Here is a 15,778-nt window from a genome sequence, read left to right on the forward strand (position 1 = left end):
AGGGAAGGAGAGCCTTTTCCCCCTCTGTCCTCGCAGAGCCTGCCAAGGAACAGTCTCTCCTCCAACATCCTCCTCCACTGGACCATGTAGGGAAAACATCGCAGGGTGAGGGGCCATCTGGTATGGCCCTTCCTGTTAGGCTGGGGAGCTGGCCAGGTAAGGTAAGGTCACCTCAGCCTGTGTGTCGCCAGCCCCCACGGGAGAACTCAAAGACGAGCATCAGCCCTCTTCTTAAAGGAAAGAGCCTAGAGCTGTTCCAAGGAGCCCCTTCCCAGAGCCTGACCCTCTGGGGTTGGCAACAGGAGTGAACAAAACAGACAAAAATCCCTGTTCTCATAGGGCTTACATTCTTACAGAGGTCGGAGAGACAGACCAAATAAAAAGTAAATTGCATAGTATGTCAGAAGATGAAAAGTACAATAGAGAAAAGTCCAGGAGGCTGCAGAGAGAGAGTGTGGAGCAGATGAGGGAGTTGTCATCTGAACTAGGCTGAGAAGGGACCACTGAGCAAAGATTGGAGCAGTGAGGGAGCAGGAGGAGACCCCGCATGCTCCAGACAGCAGGGGCCAGGGTTCTAGGTCAGAGTGAGTCAGTGGCTCTCAACTACAGGCAATTTTGCCTTCCAGGGGACATTTGGCAATGTCTACAGACATTTTTCATTGTCACACCTGGAAGGGGAGAGGGTTGCTATTGGCCTCTACTAAATATTAATAGAAGCTAAGATTCTGCTCGGTATCCCACAGTGCACACAACAGCCTCTTACAACAAAGAAGTATTCGGTCCAAAATGTCAATATTGCTGAAGTCAGGAAATCCTGGAGTGAGTGAGGGGAAGAGGAATAGGAGAGATAGCCAGGGAGATAAATGCCAACCCATTTTTTTTTTTTTTTTTTTTGGAACTGAAGAAGCTGACTTAGAAATTCTTATGGAAAAATATGTGAAAATAGCGAGGCAAAAATAATGAAAAAGAAGAATAAACAAAGTAGCCTCAGCAGATCTTCACATATATTATAAAAATCCCTATGACAGCTGAATGACTAATTTCTTAAATACATAAAGACTTCTTACAAATTAATAAAAAAAGAACTCTTGGGGCTGGGCGCAGTGGCTCATGCCTGTAATCCCAGCACTTAAACCCAGCATGTAAACCTAGCTTAAACCAGGGAGGTGGAGGTTGCAGTGAGCCGAGATTGCACCACTGCACTCTAGCCTGGGTGACAGAGCGTGAGGCACCGCATCTGGCCAGAAACTATTCTTACATAGGTGCACAAAGATGTATGTATAGATATGCTTATTACAGCATTAGCAATCCACTGGAAACAACCCAACGCCCATCAATAGGGAATTTGATTATTCTGTGATGCATACTTACAATAGAAAACCTTGCAGCTTTTCACACCTGTAATCCCAGCACTTTGGGAGGCCGAGGCAGGCGGATCACAAGGTCAAGAGATCGAGACCATCCTGGCTAACACGGTGAAACCCCGTCTCTACTAAAAAATACAAAAAAATTAGCTGCGCGTGGTGGCAGGCGCCTGTAGTCCCAGCTACTTGGGAGGCTGAGGCAGGAGAATGGCGTGAACCCGGGAGGCGGAGCTTGCAGTGAGCCGAGATCGCGCCACTGCACTCCAGCATGGGTGACAGAGTGAGACTCCATCTCAAAAAAGAAAACCTTGCAGCTTTTAAAAAGACTGGGGCTCACTCTTAGGTATGCCTCAGGAGAATTGAAAACATATGCTCACAAAAGAAACTTGTACAGAGATGTTTATAATGGCTTTATTTATAATAGCCCCAAATTGGAACAGCCCACGTGTCCAATGGGAGACGACACAAACTGTGGTATATTCGTACAAAGGAACACTATTTAGCAACAGTAAAATGAACAGATATACAACAACAGGAATGAATTTCAGAAGTATTTCATTAAACAAAATAAATCAGACCCAAGAATACTCCTGTATGATTCCATTTCTATGAAGTTCAACGGACACAACTCATCCATGGTGACAGAAATCAGAACGTGGTTGCCGCAGGAAGTGTTACTTGAAAGGGCAGAGAGAACTCTGGGCAGGAGGCTTGTGGAATTTGGATGTGGTTTCTAAGATGTAAGCATTTGTCAAAATCATTGGATGGAACACTGAAGATCTGTGCAGTTTTCTAAATTTAATCTCACCTCTATTTATTTATTGAGAAATGGAGTCTGTGCAGTGGCGCCATCTCGGCTCACTGCAATCTCCGCCTCCCGGGTTCACGCTATTCTCCTGCCGCAGCCTCCCTAGTAGCTGGGACTACAGGCCCCCGCCACCAAGCCCGGCTAATTTTTTGTATTTTAGTAGAGTCAGGGTTTCACCATGTTGGCCAGGATGGTCTCGATCTCCTGACCTCGCGATCTGCCCGCCTTGGCCTCCCAAAGTGCTGGGATTACAGGCGTGAGCCACCGCGCTCAGCCTAATCTCACATCCGTTTAAAACTAACATTAACTATTGAATAAAAACAATTAGCCAAACTTAGTATGTCCTGAAATAGAATGATCTCCAAATAAATTCTTAATTGGTGGAGGGGGGTAGGTAGAATCAAGCACAGAAAATGTGCATAGTATGCTCCCATATGTAATACAGTTAATGGATATCTATTACATAATGTTTCTAGATTATATAATATTTCTAGGAGAATGTGTAAGAAACTGTTGACAGCGGTTCCCTTTCGGTGTGGATGGTTTGGGGACTAAAGGTCTGAAGTGAGAGGCAAACATCTCAATACCTTTTGTGCCACTGGAATTTCTTTTACTGTGTTCATATTAATTTTTTACTATAAAAAGTAGTTTAAAAATTTCTTGACCAGATAACAGGGTGTTCTGAGATTGAACTTTAATATTTCTCTGCCCTTGATAGCAGGAAGCAGGGACACCACTGCCGGCCATGGGTGGCCTGTGGCTCTGCAGCTGGAAGGGGGCATTTGTACAAGCAGGTCAGGGAAGCTGCTGGAAGATGCTCCTGGGGTAGGGAAGAGAGTACACCTGAGTCCTGGCTCAGGAAGCCAAGTGAGATAAACGGAATCTTGATTGCAGAGATTCAGCCTGAAATGGCAAACTTCCGGTTGAGAAATGTAAAAGCCCATCCCGTGGTATGGAGGATTTATCTTGATAAAACTTGTGTGTGTGTGTGTGAATAGATTTTTAAAAAGGTTTCTGGTAGGTTGGGACACAAACCCTTTTCAGAGGCTGTGTGACTAAGGGGAGAAAGTACCTGGAGGAAGGGATTGTGGACTAAGAATAGGACAGCCAGCTGTAGTTTGTTTGTTTTCAGACAGAGTCTCACTCTGTCGCCCAGGCTGGGGTGCAGTGGTGTGATCTCGGCTCACTGCAACCTCTGCCTCCCAGGCTCAAGCAATTCTCTGCCTCAGCCTCCTGAGTAGCTGGGATTACAGGCACCCACCCCCGTGCCCGGCTAATATTTTTGTATTATTAGTAGAGACGGGGTTTCATCATCTTAGCCAGGCTGTTCTTGAACTCCTGACCTCGTGATCCACCCGTCTCAGCCTCCCAAGGTGTTGCAGGCATGAGCCACCTCACCAGGCCACCAGCTGTAGTTTGTAATCAGACAATACAGCATTTGGACTTTGTTTCCACAGACAAGAACATGCCATTACAGGTCTTACCCAAGAACATCCTGATTTGTTCATCTCAAGGATTGGGCTTTGTGCTAGTGAGCTGGTATCCTGCTTGGAACCCAGATCAAAGAGTTGTTTTGTTTATGTGCAAGAGATGGTGGGGAGGAGAGAAGACTTCACCTGTCCCAGGTAGATGCCAGATGGGGAGACCCCAGTCCTTCTCCAAGAAAGCTCTCAGCTGATGATGAACAGGGGAGGAGACATATGTCCTGCCCTCAGGAGCATCTCATTCAGAGGTCAAAGGCTAAGGAGCCCAGGGACTTAATTTTGGAATGCAAAGAATCTTTGTGGAGCCATAAGTCCCTGCCAAAAAAAATTAAGAGGGCAATCCTGGTCAACATTGTGTGTTCAGCTAACCTCAAGCCCAGATGTCTGATCCAAGCACTAAGAAGAGAGAACTCAAAGGCCCAGGGTGGACCCTTTTTATAAAATGTCAGAGGCAAGATATAGATAGGGGAAAGGCCTGAGATGGCCTTCAGCGAACCCCCATAGGGAAGCAGGCAGTGGGACCTTGGAACAGGCTCCAAGATGAGACAGCATGGGAGATTGGGATGGGGGCTCCATCTGGCCCAAGCAGAGGGAGGGTCAGCTGGAGTAAGAGGATCCGTGACTCTGGGGAAAGCCCTTAGAGACCCTCTGGTCTAACGCCTTCATGAAGGAAACTGAGACCCAGAGTGCAGCATGACTGATTTGGTGTCTGATGTCAGGACTGAGCTCTGTGCATGGCTCAGACTCTAGCCTCCCAATCCACGGGACCCCCTGCAGAAGGTCTACCTGTTGGGAATTGGAGGCATTGTTGAAGCTCTTGACCAGAAAACCATGTACTCACTTCCTACCTAGCAACATGCTCCTACTGAATTCTACGGAAAGAGGGCCTCTCAAGACTCATGGAGTGATCATACCAGACACTTATCATCACCTACCCAACAGCTCCTCCCACCGTTTTGTCCTGCCAGAGCCCAGATTTTGTAGTGGGTGGAAATAGCTTAATTTGGGGAAACATAGGCTAATTCCCCAACCCCGAGAGATGAGTCTTAATTGGTCACAGTATTCCAATGGGACTCCAATCCCCCTTTGTGAATGATGGGTCTAAGGGTAGGCAAGTGACCCACTTGTGGCCCAGAAGACATAAAGGGAAGTCTGCATGGGACTTCTGAGGAAGCTTTTACTTTCCTAGTAAAAGACAAAGATGCAGTTGACACCATCATGCCCTCACCCCATCCACCTTTCTGCCTTGAAGGAAAGCAGCTGTGTATGTAGCCTGGGGGTCAAGCATGGGGGTAAAAGTGTGAAGGCTTTAAGATGACAGAGTGGACTATGGAGCGCAAGTCCTTGGAGGCTGAAATGAGCTGTTGGGCCAATGCCAGCAACCATCTACCTACAGACTTCCTGAAAAGTAAACATTAATTGACCTTCTGGTTTAAGCCACTGTTTGCTGGGCCTTCTCTTATTTGCCATCAAAAGCAAATAAGAGAGCATGTATGGCTAAGTTAAGTGTTCAGAATCACACATCGAGTTAGTGGCAGTTACCGTTCCAACCCAGATCTTCCAACTCCATGCCCACTGCTCCTTACACTAACCATGAAGGGCCTTGGCCTCATAGAGCTTGTAGGGAAAGGTAAGTGGCCAAAAGCAAGTCATGCCAAGGGAAGATCTCTGAATACAGGTCCCTCTCTTTTGCCTCCCCTGAGATAGGCTCAGGACAGTGATCAATGAGACAGGGTGGTCCTTGCCCTAAGAAGCAAAGGGTTTGGTTGGGGAGGCCATACACTTTAGTGCAACTCCAGCCAACACCTAGAGTTGTTTAGGATTGGCCTCTGGTCAGCCTCTTCAGGTGGGAGCTTGGCACTCTGGAAGCCCTCCACCCAGCTTTTTGTCAGCCCTCAACCACATGGTGTCTGGAAGAGTCCTCCACCCACCCACCAGTTCCTCCCCCATTACCCCTGGCCATTCTACTCATCCTTCAATGCCCACCTTGGATGACCTTCATTGACCTTGCCTACTACCAACAGCTTGCACCTAATTGACTGCACTGACCAATCATTTATTTATCCATCATACTAACTGTATAGCCTGCTCTGGGTCAGCCATAATGCTGACACTAGACTCGGTGGGCAGTCAGAGCCCTCAGTCTGGTGGGGCAGGCCAGTCAACGGCAGCGGCACAGAGGGCAGTGATAGAGGGCTGGGGAGGAAGGAAGTCAGCAGTTGTACCTTGGTGGGGGGAGGTGGCAGCCTTTTCCCTACTTCCCTCCCCAACCAAACACTTTGCTTCTTAGGGCAAGGACCACCCTGTCTCATTGATCACTTGTCCTGTGCCTATCTCAGGGGAGGCAACAGACAGGGACTCATGTTTGGAGATCTTCCCTTGGCATGGACTTGCTCTTGGCCACTCACCTTTCCCTACAAGCCCTATAAGGCCAAAGCCCTTCATGGCTAGCAGAAGGAGCAGGGGGTATGGAGTTGGAAGCTCTTGGTTGGAACTGTAACTGCCAGTAACTTGATGTGTGACTTTGGACACTTCCCTTGGCCTCCCTGAGCCTCGCTTTTTTTTTGAAAGACAAAGCAAGATAATAACACCTTCCTATCTCACAGGGTTGCTGCAAAGATCGAACGAGATAACTAGTGGATTCAACAGGGACAGGAAGGCCTGGCACCCAGCAGGTGGGCAGGGCGTAACTAACTGTTCATTCATCCACCTCCCTGGGCTCCCCACACTGCAGAAAACCAGAGACAAGTCAGCAGCACAGTGGAGCTTTCCGCGGGAGACAGAGCATTTAATGAGAGCAAGAGCTGGACAGTGTGGTCAGGAATCGTCCCACCCAAGGAACCAGACACATACTCGGTCCTTGATGGGGTTTCCTGAGGCTCTCATACTTTCTCCTGCCCTGGAAAATGCCATCCAGGAGCTCATCTCTTTGCTACTGCCTCTCTTCCAGAGCAGCACAAGAAGGAAATAAAATGGACTTGCGGGGGAAAGAAGATGCTTGTCTCTCATGTCTGTCTCTTACAGGGGGGTTCTGAAGATTCCCACAGCCTCTCTGGAGTTGTTGCCCCACTTTGGGGTCTTTGTCCGAGTAACTTCAAGTAGATTGGCCCACGGGCAGGGGTTGTTTGCTGAGAGATCACCAAGCGCTGCTCAATCTCAACGATCCTCTGTTGTCACCAGCCATGGCTGTGAAGGCCAGTCAACAAAGGGAAGATTTTACCCAGAGGAGCTCAAACGCTGGCATGAAAGACTCTGAAGTGGCATAGCCAGTGGAAATTAACAGCTGTGTCCACTCTGGGCCTCAGGTGAGGGAGGGCCTAGATAGCCCACTGTGGCCCCCAGAGCGCCATCACTGCCCATACTTGGAGTGTGATCCTAGCTATTTGGGGATGGCAGGGGAAGCATCTCCCAGAAAAGATGACCTGCCTGGGAGAAAAGGGGGACCCCAGAGGGTGCCAGCCAAGGCGTCTCGGCAAATGTTGACCCAGACAACAGGGGACCAAGGAGTTGAAGGAGGCTCACTGGAGAGGTGGGACAGGGGGCCAGTCGATTAAAACAGAACCAAGTGATGAAGGGCGTAGGTTGGCCTGTGGTGCACTGTGGGTGGCAAGCCAGGTGTCGTCCTGAAGTTGGCAACTCAGATTCCTCATCCTTTGGTGGTGGCCACAGGAGGAGTTCCCAGAGGCTTCAGGAGGCTCTGATTCCCACTCGCACTCCAGCAGTGGGAGGTTGCTCAAGACCAGGCATTCCGTCCCTGGCTGGGGTGTCCCTTCCAGAGTGACAGAGATGATCTGAGGCTGCTCAAGGTGAGCTGGAAGGGACATGGGCACTGGTAGGTGGTTGTCTTAGCTCTCAACCAGGGGATCCGATTCCCATTTAAACTATCTAGGACGAAGCGAGTGAAAACCAGAGCCCTGTGTGGGGGATGCTTGAGGCAGAGCGGGTACAGCAGCCTGCATCCTGATCCCTCGGCTACCTGGCCTCCCTCACAGAGATAATGGCAAGGCTTGGGAAAGATGGGTCCAGCAGCCCACTGAGGGGTTCCCTTCATTTCTGAGCCTACCCTCCAGCTGCCCATGACCATCTCTGCATCTGGGCTTGGAGGAAGAGGTGGCCCATTGGCTGGGTTTTGGTGGTGTGTGGACATCGTTGGGTCATTTTGGGGTGTGAACCCCAAAACTCTGTACAAGGTGTGCCAGAAGGTTCGGTAGTCCTGAGGAGGGTAAGGGCTGTGTGTGTGGTCTTGTGGCTCTTCCTAAGTCTCAATATGTGTCACATTAGCCCAGTCAGGGAAATGATCCAAGTCAAATATGGCCCGTCCCCAGGTGTTGACAGCCAAAAACACACAGAAGACTCCAATTATGTTCATTATGACTCCTGTTTTCACCTGGAAAAGAGACAGAGTCAGCACCCTGAGGCCTGCTGGGGACTAGTGCTCTCAGAGAGGAGGACAAAGGGTCGGCTCACTGGGCCTCGATGTCCCTGTGCCATGCTCTGTCCCTGGCTGGGGTGTCCCGACCCCCAGGACAGTGCGACTTCATGTCCCCCAGGTATCCTCAGTGCTCAAGGCATCCCTGGGAAGTAGGCAGAGTGGATGGGTTCTCTATGCCCGTGCGCATTTGGAAAATGACCTCAGAGAAGTGACAGGAGGCAACAGCTTAGGCCATTCAGGGAAACGGTCACAGAGCCCAGTGTTCCGTGAGTCCAGGTTCATTGCTCACCCCAGTGCCTTAACTATCCTACAAGGACGTGCCAGCTTCCCTGTGGACCTCCTCAGGCTCTTTCTGATGCCTGCTCTGCAAGCTTCCCTCATGGTCACTAACCATCGCTTCACTACCCTGTTGTAGATATTTTACTGGGGATTGGAGTCAAGTTTGCAGTCCATGGTTTCTGGGACCCACCTTTTTTTTTGAAAATGCTCATGGAGTCCCTGAGATACCCAGCAGAGGCTCTGAGATAACGAACACCCGATTGGTCCCAGGTACATTTCTGGCCTCTTGGGCTCAAACACTTGCCTCTTTCCCAGCCCAGAGCTGCAAAGCTGCCCTTCTCCCAGCAAAGGTGACAGAGCTAATGAAGAGTTCTTCCTCTGACTACATTTGTTTCCAAGGCATCATCTACTCCCAGGCAGTGCTCTCTCTCTCCCTCTCCCTGCTTCTACCTCTTCAGGCACCCCTACAAATCTCTGTGACTGTCATTAGCATCCCCCTGCTGCCTAAGCCTGCCCTGCCTATCTTCATGGTTCTTGCTAATTTGTCAAGTTCATCCTTGGCCATATGAGTCCCTCAGCCCCACCTTCACCCCTTCCAAGGACTCCCCTGGTGCCTGCACAGGCTTCTCCAGGTGGGAGAGTCTATAACCCACCTCAGAGAAAGAACAGTGTGTGAGGCTTGAGATCATCTCAGAAAAAGAAGAAAAGCTGCATTATAAATGTCAACAATGGCTACAGGTCTGGATGTTCCGTGGCATTCCCAAGTCACATGACATCGTTTTGAAACTCTGTCATTCATAAATGGGGCATCCCTTATGACAACAGCGTTATAGTCCGACGGGAGTAAATAAAAACAGCTGTGTTACCATGTCAGCAACCTTGAGGTGCCCATAGGTGAACACGATGGCATTTGGAGGGGTGGCCACAGGCAACATGAAGGCAAAGGAGGCACTCAGGGTACAGGGCAGCATGATGTACAGCGGATTGAGGCCGATGGAGCGAGACTGCGGAAAAACAGCACTGCAACATCACCGTACAGAACACAGAAGCTCTTGGGGACGTGATTCTGAAAAGGATTCTCTGAATGTGCCGGGTACGTTTGAACCTCTGTGCCTCAGTCTTGGTTCCTCTCCCTTTTGCCACGTCTCTGGCAGATAATTCCACCTACGGAACACTGAAGGCTGAGGTCAGAGGCCACCTGCCCTAGAAGGCCTTACCCCCTCAATTCATTCGACATGTATTTCTTGGGCACCTACTATGTGCCAGAGACCATGCTGAGTACTTAGACTGTGCTCAACCTTACAGTGCCGCGTGCACATGTCTGTCTGTCTTGCCACAGACTGAGAGAGCCTAGAGGCCAGGGACCACATCTTCTCTCCCGCATATAAATCTGTGGATGTGTGTGTTTTTATACATGCGTGGGGTCATTTTGCACATGGAATTTGGTAGCCACCTTTTAAATTCTACACTTTAAAATTTAGCCACATCCAACAGCACCTATCAGAGAGTAGGCACTCATTAAATATTTGCTGAGTGTATGAATGAATGATGTAATTCCTAAAATCTATCAAATCAATCATGTATCATGCACATGAGGGCAGACACATGCAAACATGTTTGTTGCAACCATGTAACGGCAAAACACAGGAAGCCAACTCAATGGTCACTAATAGCAGGATGGTTAAATAAAATATGACACATACAAATAATGGAATAGTATGCAGCTGTAAAGAATTGGATTTTTTTTTCTTTTTGTGCTAATCAGGAAAGCTCTCCAAGATAACCAAGGCTTCATGGTTAGATTTTTTAAAAATTAAGATGAATGGCCGGGCGCAGTGGCTCACGCCTGTAATCCCAGCACTTTGGGAGGCCAAGGCAGGCGGATCACCTGAGGTCAGGAGTTTGAGACCAGCCTGACCAATGTGGTGAAACCCCGTCTCTACTAAAAATACAAAAAATTAGCCAGGCAAGGTGGCAGGCACCTGTAATCCCAGCTACTCGGGAGGCTGAGGCAGGAGAATCTCTTGAACCCGGGAGGTGGAGGTTGCAGTGAGCCAAGATCACACCATTGCACTCCAGCCTGGGTGACAAGAGTGAAACTCTGTCTCAAAAAAAGTGTGTGAGTGTGTAAAATATCCAGAAAAATATTTGAGAAATTAACAGAGGTCATCTCTAGGGAGGAGGCTAGAGGATTAAGGTCTGTATACATCTTTGCATTATTAGACATTTTTAGCCATATACCATCTGCAATTTTAAAAAACTATACTATGAGCATGTTCCCATTTTATTACTCTTTGAAACTGTGATTTTTAATGGCCTGATAATGTCATATTATATGAATATATGATAATTTATTTCAGCAAACCCCCTGTTACTATGGATATATTTGTATAATAATTCTGTCATACATCATCATCACATATGTTGGTAGGCATCTCTGATTATTTTCCTAAGATATATTCCCAGACATGAAATTGCTGAGTCAAGGGGTCTGAGCAGGTTTAATGTTACGGTTCCTGTTGGTAAACAGCCCTCTGAAAGGACTGCGCAAGTCCCACGCCCCCTGGGAACCACTGAGGGGTCCCACGCAGGGGCCCAGCTCTTCGCTGGCGCGTCTCCCCGACCATCCTCGTTTTCCTGGCTGTGGGTACCTCATGGTGTCTGCACCTCACACTCCTCTGCAGCCCAGCTCAATGACCATCACCTTTTCCTTTCTCATAGGTGGGCGTGAGACAGGAGTGTGATGGGCCTTAGAGGTAGCTGGGGGAGTTTTTACTTGAGGTTCCTGGTTCTAGAAAAGCCCGTTTTCAAAGAGCCCGTTAGGGCCTGCATTTGCCTGGTTGGAACCCTCGGTGCTCCCAGTTAGGGCTGGAGATGACAAAGCCACGGCCTGTGCTAGGAGAGAGGAGGCATCACCACCACGTGCCCAGTATCAAAAGGTGCTCCTTCTACTGGGCGTCTGTTTGGACAGTCTGCTTAGGAGAAGAGGAGACAGGCCACTTTGCTATTTTGAACACTTTCACCTCCTTGCTATTTTTAACACTTTCATCTTCACTTGGAGGAGAAAAAAACCACTTAGGTTTGCTTTTTATACATGCAGACGCCCAGGCAGCCGAATGGAAATTCACCACCTTCAATCCTGTGTTCAGGCCCTCTGTAAATCTGTCTCCCAATTCCAGAATAATGACAGCCTCTCCCATGCTCATTTTGCAGTCTACAGAGGCTTTTCATAGCCCTCATCTTACTTGGCCATCAGCACAGCTCTCGGAAGAAAGAACTGAAGGGCCATGTTCAGAGATCCCACATCTTGAACTCGGGTCTTCTGACTGCGAGACCAGGGATCTTTCCATACTACCCTGAAGCTGGTACGTCTTTGCAATGGATGACAGAAGGAAATGCAAAAAAAAAAAAAAAAAAAAAAAAAAAAAAAAAACCATAGCCACTGATTTTCCTATAAGCTCTGCTTTCTTCTCACTCCCAACTCAAAAACATGCTAGTCCATAGAACAGAATGCCTTAGCCTGGCACTCAGCAGCTTTTCCCACAACCGACAGCTACCTCTCTCCACTCCCCAGGATCCCTTATCCCTGTGCTCACCAAGCCAGGCTTCCAGGAGTCCTCAGTCATGTGCACCATTGCCTTTCCTTGTGCTGCTCCATCTTCCCAGAATTCTCTCTCCCTTCCTACCTACTCCCAAGTCCCCACTCCTCCAAGGCCTCTTCCTGGGGTTTCCAGCCAGTGGTGCTCCCAGTCTGCAGTCCTCCTGCACACCTGTGCTACATGCTCAGAGACCACGGCACTGGCCTGCTCCTCCTTAGCCCAAGTCCTGTCTCCCCAGCTTGAAAAATAATCCAATTAGATTTATAAAATAAATTTGAGCACTTGGTCCATGGTTGGTGCTTTGGTCAGCAGGAGGGGTACAAAGAGGAGTGGCAAAGCAGTGGAGGCCTCAGGGGCAGAGGCATCCAGGGTCCACAAATCCACGTCACAGTCAGACCTGGGTCTCCAAAGCCTGGTCTGAGTCTGGCCTGGACATTGCTGCCTCGTCAGGGACCCACAATATGGCCATGTGTTCCTGTGAAATGGAAGGGCTCCTCCCCACTGTCAGGTTACTTACCATGGAGGCAAAGATGGGCAGGAACAAGGTGGTGGTGGCCACGTTGCTTGTGCACTCAGTGAACACGGCAACGAGCAAGGACAAGATCAAGGTGATGGCTGCCGGGGGCACTGCGTGCAAGGGCTCCATCTGCTTCCCCATCCACACGGACAGCCCCGAGGCCTGGGAAGCACCAGGAGGGCAGTCATCTCAGCGCTCCCAGCTTGCAGTTCCTTCAGGGCCAGGGCAAGCTTGGCCCATCCTCCCCTCCCGACCCTCTCTCTCTACACCTCATAGGTGACCTCATCCATTCCCACCATTTTCATCCCCGTCCTCACTCTGCTGTCTCCTAAATCTGTATTTCCAGCCAGCTGGCCTACTATGTGGATTTACATACCCATATGCCTTCTGGAAATGTCCATCCAGATGTCCCAAGAGCACAACAGACTCAACATGCTCCACCCTGCATTCATCCTCCATAGCCCAGAATCTGCTTCTCTCTCTGGGCCTCCCAGTTTGGTGAATGGACTCACCATCCACCAGCCATCCAGCCCAGCAGGCTGGGAGTCATGCTGCCGGTCTCTGTTCCCCTCCTTCCTTATACCCAGTCAGTCACCAAGTCACCCAAATGTCTCACATCCATCTCCTCCTCTTCAGTGCTCCACAGTTTTGGAAGCTCAGGAGAATGATTTCAACCAGAAATTGAAGGTTTAGATTTAGGGCTTTGGGCTGAGAAGAGATTGTCCAGGGAGAGAATGAAGTGTAAAAAGAGGAGAGGCCAAGGACAGAGCCTGGGCAGACACTCCTGTTTCAGGGAGAACAGAGAAGTCAGCAACGAAGGCTGAGCAGGAATAGTCTGAGTCCGAAGTAAAGCTGGAGACTGTGCTGAGCTGGGGGCCAAAGGAGGAGAGAATGTCCACAGAGTCCAAAGTTCTGAGCCTGAGTGAGATGGAAGGCTGCAGAGTCTCAGCTAGTTCTCCTCCAAGCCCTGCCCAGCCCAGGCCCCCACTCCAGACATCAGAGTGATTTCCTCATGTGCAGATCTGACCAACTCACCCCCTGGCCTCAGTCCTTCAGTGGCTGTCTACTGCATTCACGATCAAGTCCACACCCCTCTATCTTGGGGCCCTCAGAGAAGTGGCTTCTGGTAGCCTTACCAGCCTCATCTTCTACTTCTCCTCAGCTAAATACCTCACATTTTTCCCTTGCTCGTGTGCTACTTCCTGAAATGCCCTTTCATATATGTGCCCCTCCCTAGTCTGTGAAGTCTGCCACGAACAGGGACCGTATCTCAATCTCCTCTGTAATCTCTGTGCCTGGCATAACACTAGGGACATAATAGGAATGTTGGATGGATGGATGGATAGATGGATGGATGGATGGATGGATGGATGGATGGATGGATGGATAGATGGGTGGATGGATGGATGGATAGATAGATGGGTGGATAGATAGATGGGTGGATGGATGGACAGATGGATGGATGGATGGATGGATGGATGGATGGATGGATGGATGGACGGATGGACGGACGGATGGATGGATGAAGACATGAATAGATGCATGGATGATGGATGGAGAGGTGACTAGATGGATGGATTTGTTCACCTCCGCAAAAACTTAGCACCCACTAGGCACCAGGCTGTGTCCTAGATATTGAAGAAACAGCAATAACTAGACCAAGTCTGTCTATTACACTCCTGGATACTTGGGTAGGTAGATGGTTGGTTGGAGGACAGCAGCAGCAAGCTAGCTCATCCCTCCCTCTGGCTCATTTCTTCCCCAGGAGGGAAAGAAGGAGGTAAAGAAAGTTATATTTTTGTGTGTTTTCCAACATGTTCCTCACCTCCTACGCTGCTACATACTTAGCTAAAGAAAAATTTTGAAGTAGCTACCATGTTAAGTAGCCAGTAGAAGGACCAAAAGTAGTAGCAAACAATATTGACAAGGATTGGAAAGAAAGATTTCCCTCAGACAAATCAAAGCAGAGATTATTGTGATCAAGCCCCAGAGGGTAACTGACAGTGTCCTCTGCCTCTCTTGGCTAACCACGGTCACTCATTCACTCATTCCTGCAATCGCTCAAAGGTTACTTTCTGTCTTCCAGGCCCTGTGTGTGGTGTAGAGTTCCTAGATGACAAGACAGAGTCCATGTCCTCAAGGAATGTGCGGTTATACGAAGGATGCAGGCACAGAAACACACAAGCCCAGGGATGGAAGGGTGGAGAAACGCCACCCTCTTGACGAAGAAGAGGGCTCTGGGCAGCCTGTGGCTGGAGAAGTTACCTCGGATCCTTTAGCCAGAGCAAATCCGCCCCCTAGTAGCAGCACGATGCCCCAGGGCACTTTCTCCTGGGTTACCTTCCAATCCAGCAGGGGAGGGGGATAAAATGGAGTTTTCCTTTCTGGGAAGAAAAAGAAACACACACACACACACACACACACACACACACACACACACACACACACACACCAGAGCAGCATTAGAAGACAAAAGAAATCTAATCAAGGGGGAATAAAGCTAATAAGGACAATGAGGTACCATCTCCTACTTATAAATTAGCTAAAGTTTACAATAATATATACATTGCTGGTGAGGATATGATCAAACTATTACACACACTGCCAATAGCATCGTAAATTGGTATGACCTTTTTGAAAAGCAATTTGGCCATACATTTTAAGGGCCATTAAGACTTTGTATTCTATCACCCCAGCAATATTACTCCTAGAAGTTTATCCTAAAGAAAAAATACCCTCAAAGGAAAAGCTATATGCAAGAAAACATTAATTTATGAAAATAAAAAATTCAAAACAGCCAAAATGTTCTATAACAGGAGAATGATTACAACCCCTCAACGCAATATAATGCCATTATTAGAGAAAATATATTTGAAGACTGTAGCAATAGTGGGAAATGTTTATAGTGTAATATCAATCAAAAGTGGTAGAAGAAACAACAAACAAATAGGATTCAAACTGTGTGTGTTGATTATAATGTAATATACAGGCATATTAGCAAAGACTGGGAGGAAGAGAGAAAACAAAAAATTGTGCTGAATGGAAATCAGTGTTATGGAAAATTTGAAACATTTTCTGTTCCTGTTGTAATATAAATAAAATTTCAAATGTTAAATTCAAATGTTAAAAAGCAAAAAAGATATTTTGCACTAAATAATACCACCGGTGGCTTGAAAGCCACTGTTTCCCAGGCTTTTGTAGCCAATCCTCTTGGATATGATGGGATTTTCTCCCTCTAGGGCCCAAGGCATCCCATAGTGACCCTTTGGTTCCAGGGCTCCAGTCCTGATGACTG

The 15,778-nt window shown here is 48.5% G+C and overlaps 1 protein-coding gene across 5 annotated transcripts in view; it reads right to left on the bottom strand.

Annotated features, from left to right (window-relative positions):
- SLC13A5 (solute carrier family 13 member 5) overlaps positions 6,424 to 15,778 on the bottom strand; it is a 28,651-nt gene continuing 19,296 nt past the window's right edge. For 3 of the 5 annotated variants that reach the window (NM_001284510.2, NM_001284509.2, NM_177550.5), the window contains 4 exons: positions 14,749 to 14,867; positions 12,484 to 12,645; positions 9,234 to 9,371; positions 6,424 to 8,043 (listed from right to left, as the gene is read on the bottom strand). In NM_001284510.2, the coding sequence (NP_001271439.1) occupies positions 7,912 to 8,043; positions 9,234 to 9,371; positions 12,484 to 12,645; positions 14,749 to 14,867 (551 nt within the window). In that variant the 3' untranslated portion in view covers positions 6,424 to 7,911. Of the gene's footprint in view, positions 8,044 to 9,057; positions 9,542 to 12,483; positions 12,646 to 14,748; positions 14,868 to 15,778 lie in introns of those variants that run through there. The other 2 variants (NM_001143838.3, XM_011523795.4) reach the window with 2 other exon arrangements.

Source organism: Homo sapiens, chromosome 17 (genome assembly GCF_000001405.40).
Source record: "Homo sapiens chromosome 17, GRCh38.p14 Primary Assembly".
Classification (NCBI taxonomy): domain Eukaryota; kingdom Metazoa; phylum Chordata; class Mammalia; order Primates; family Hominidae; genus Homo; species Homo sapiens.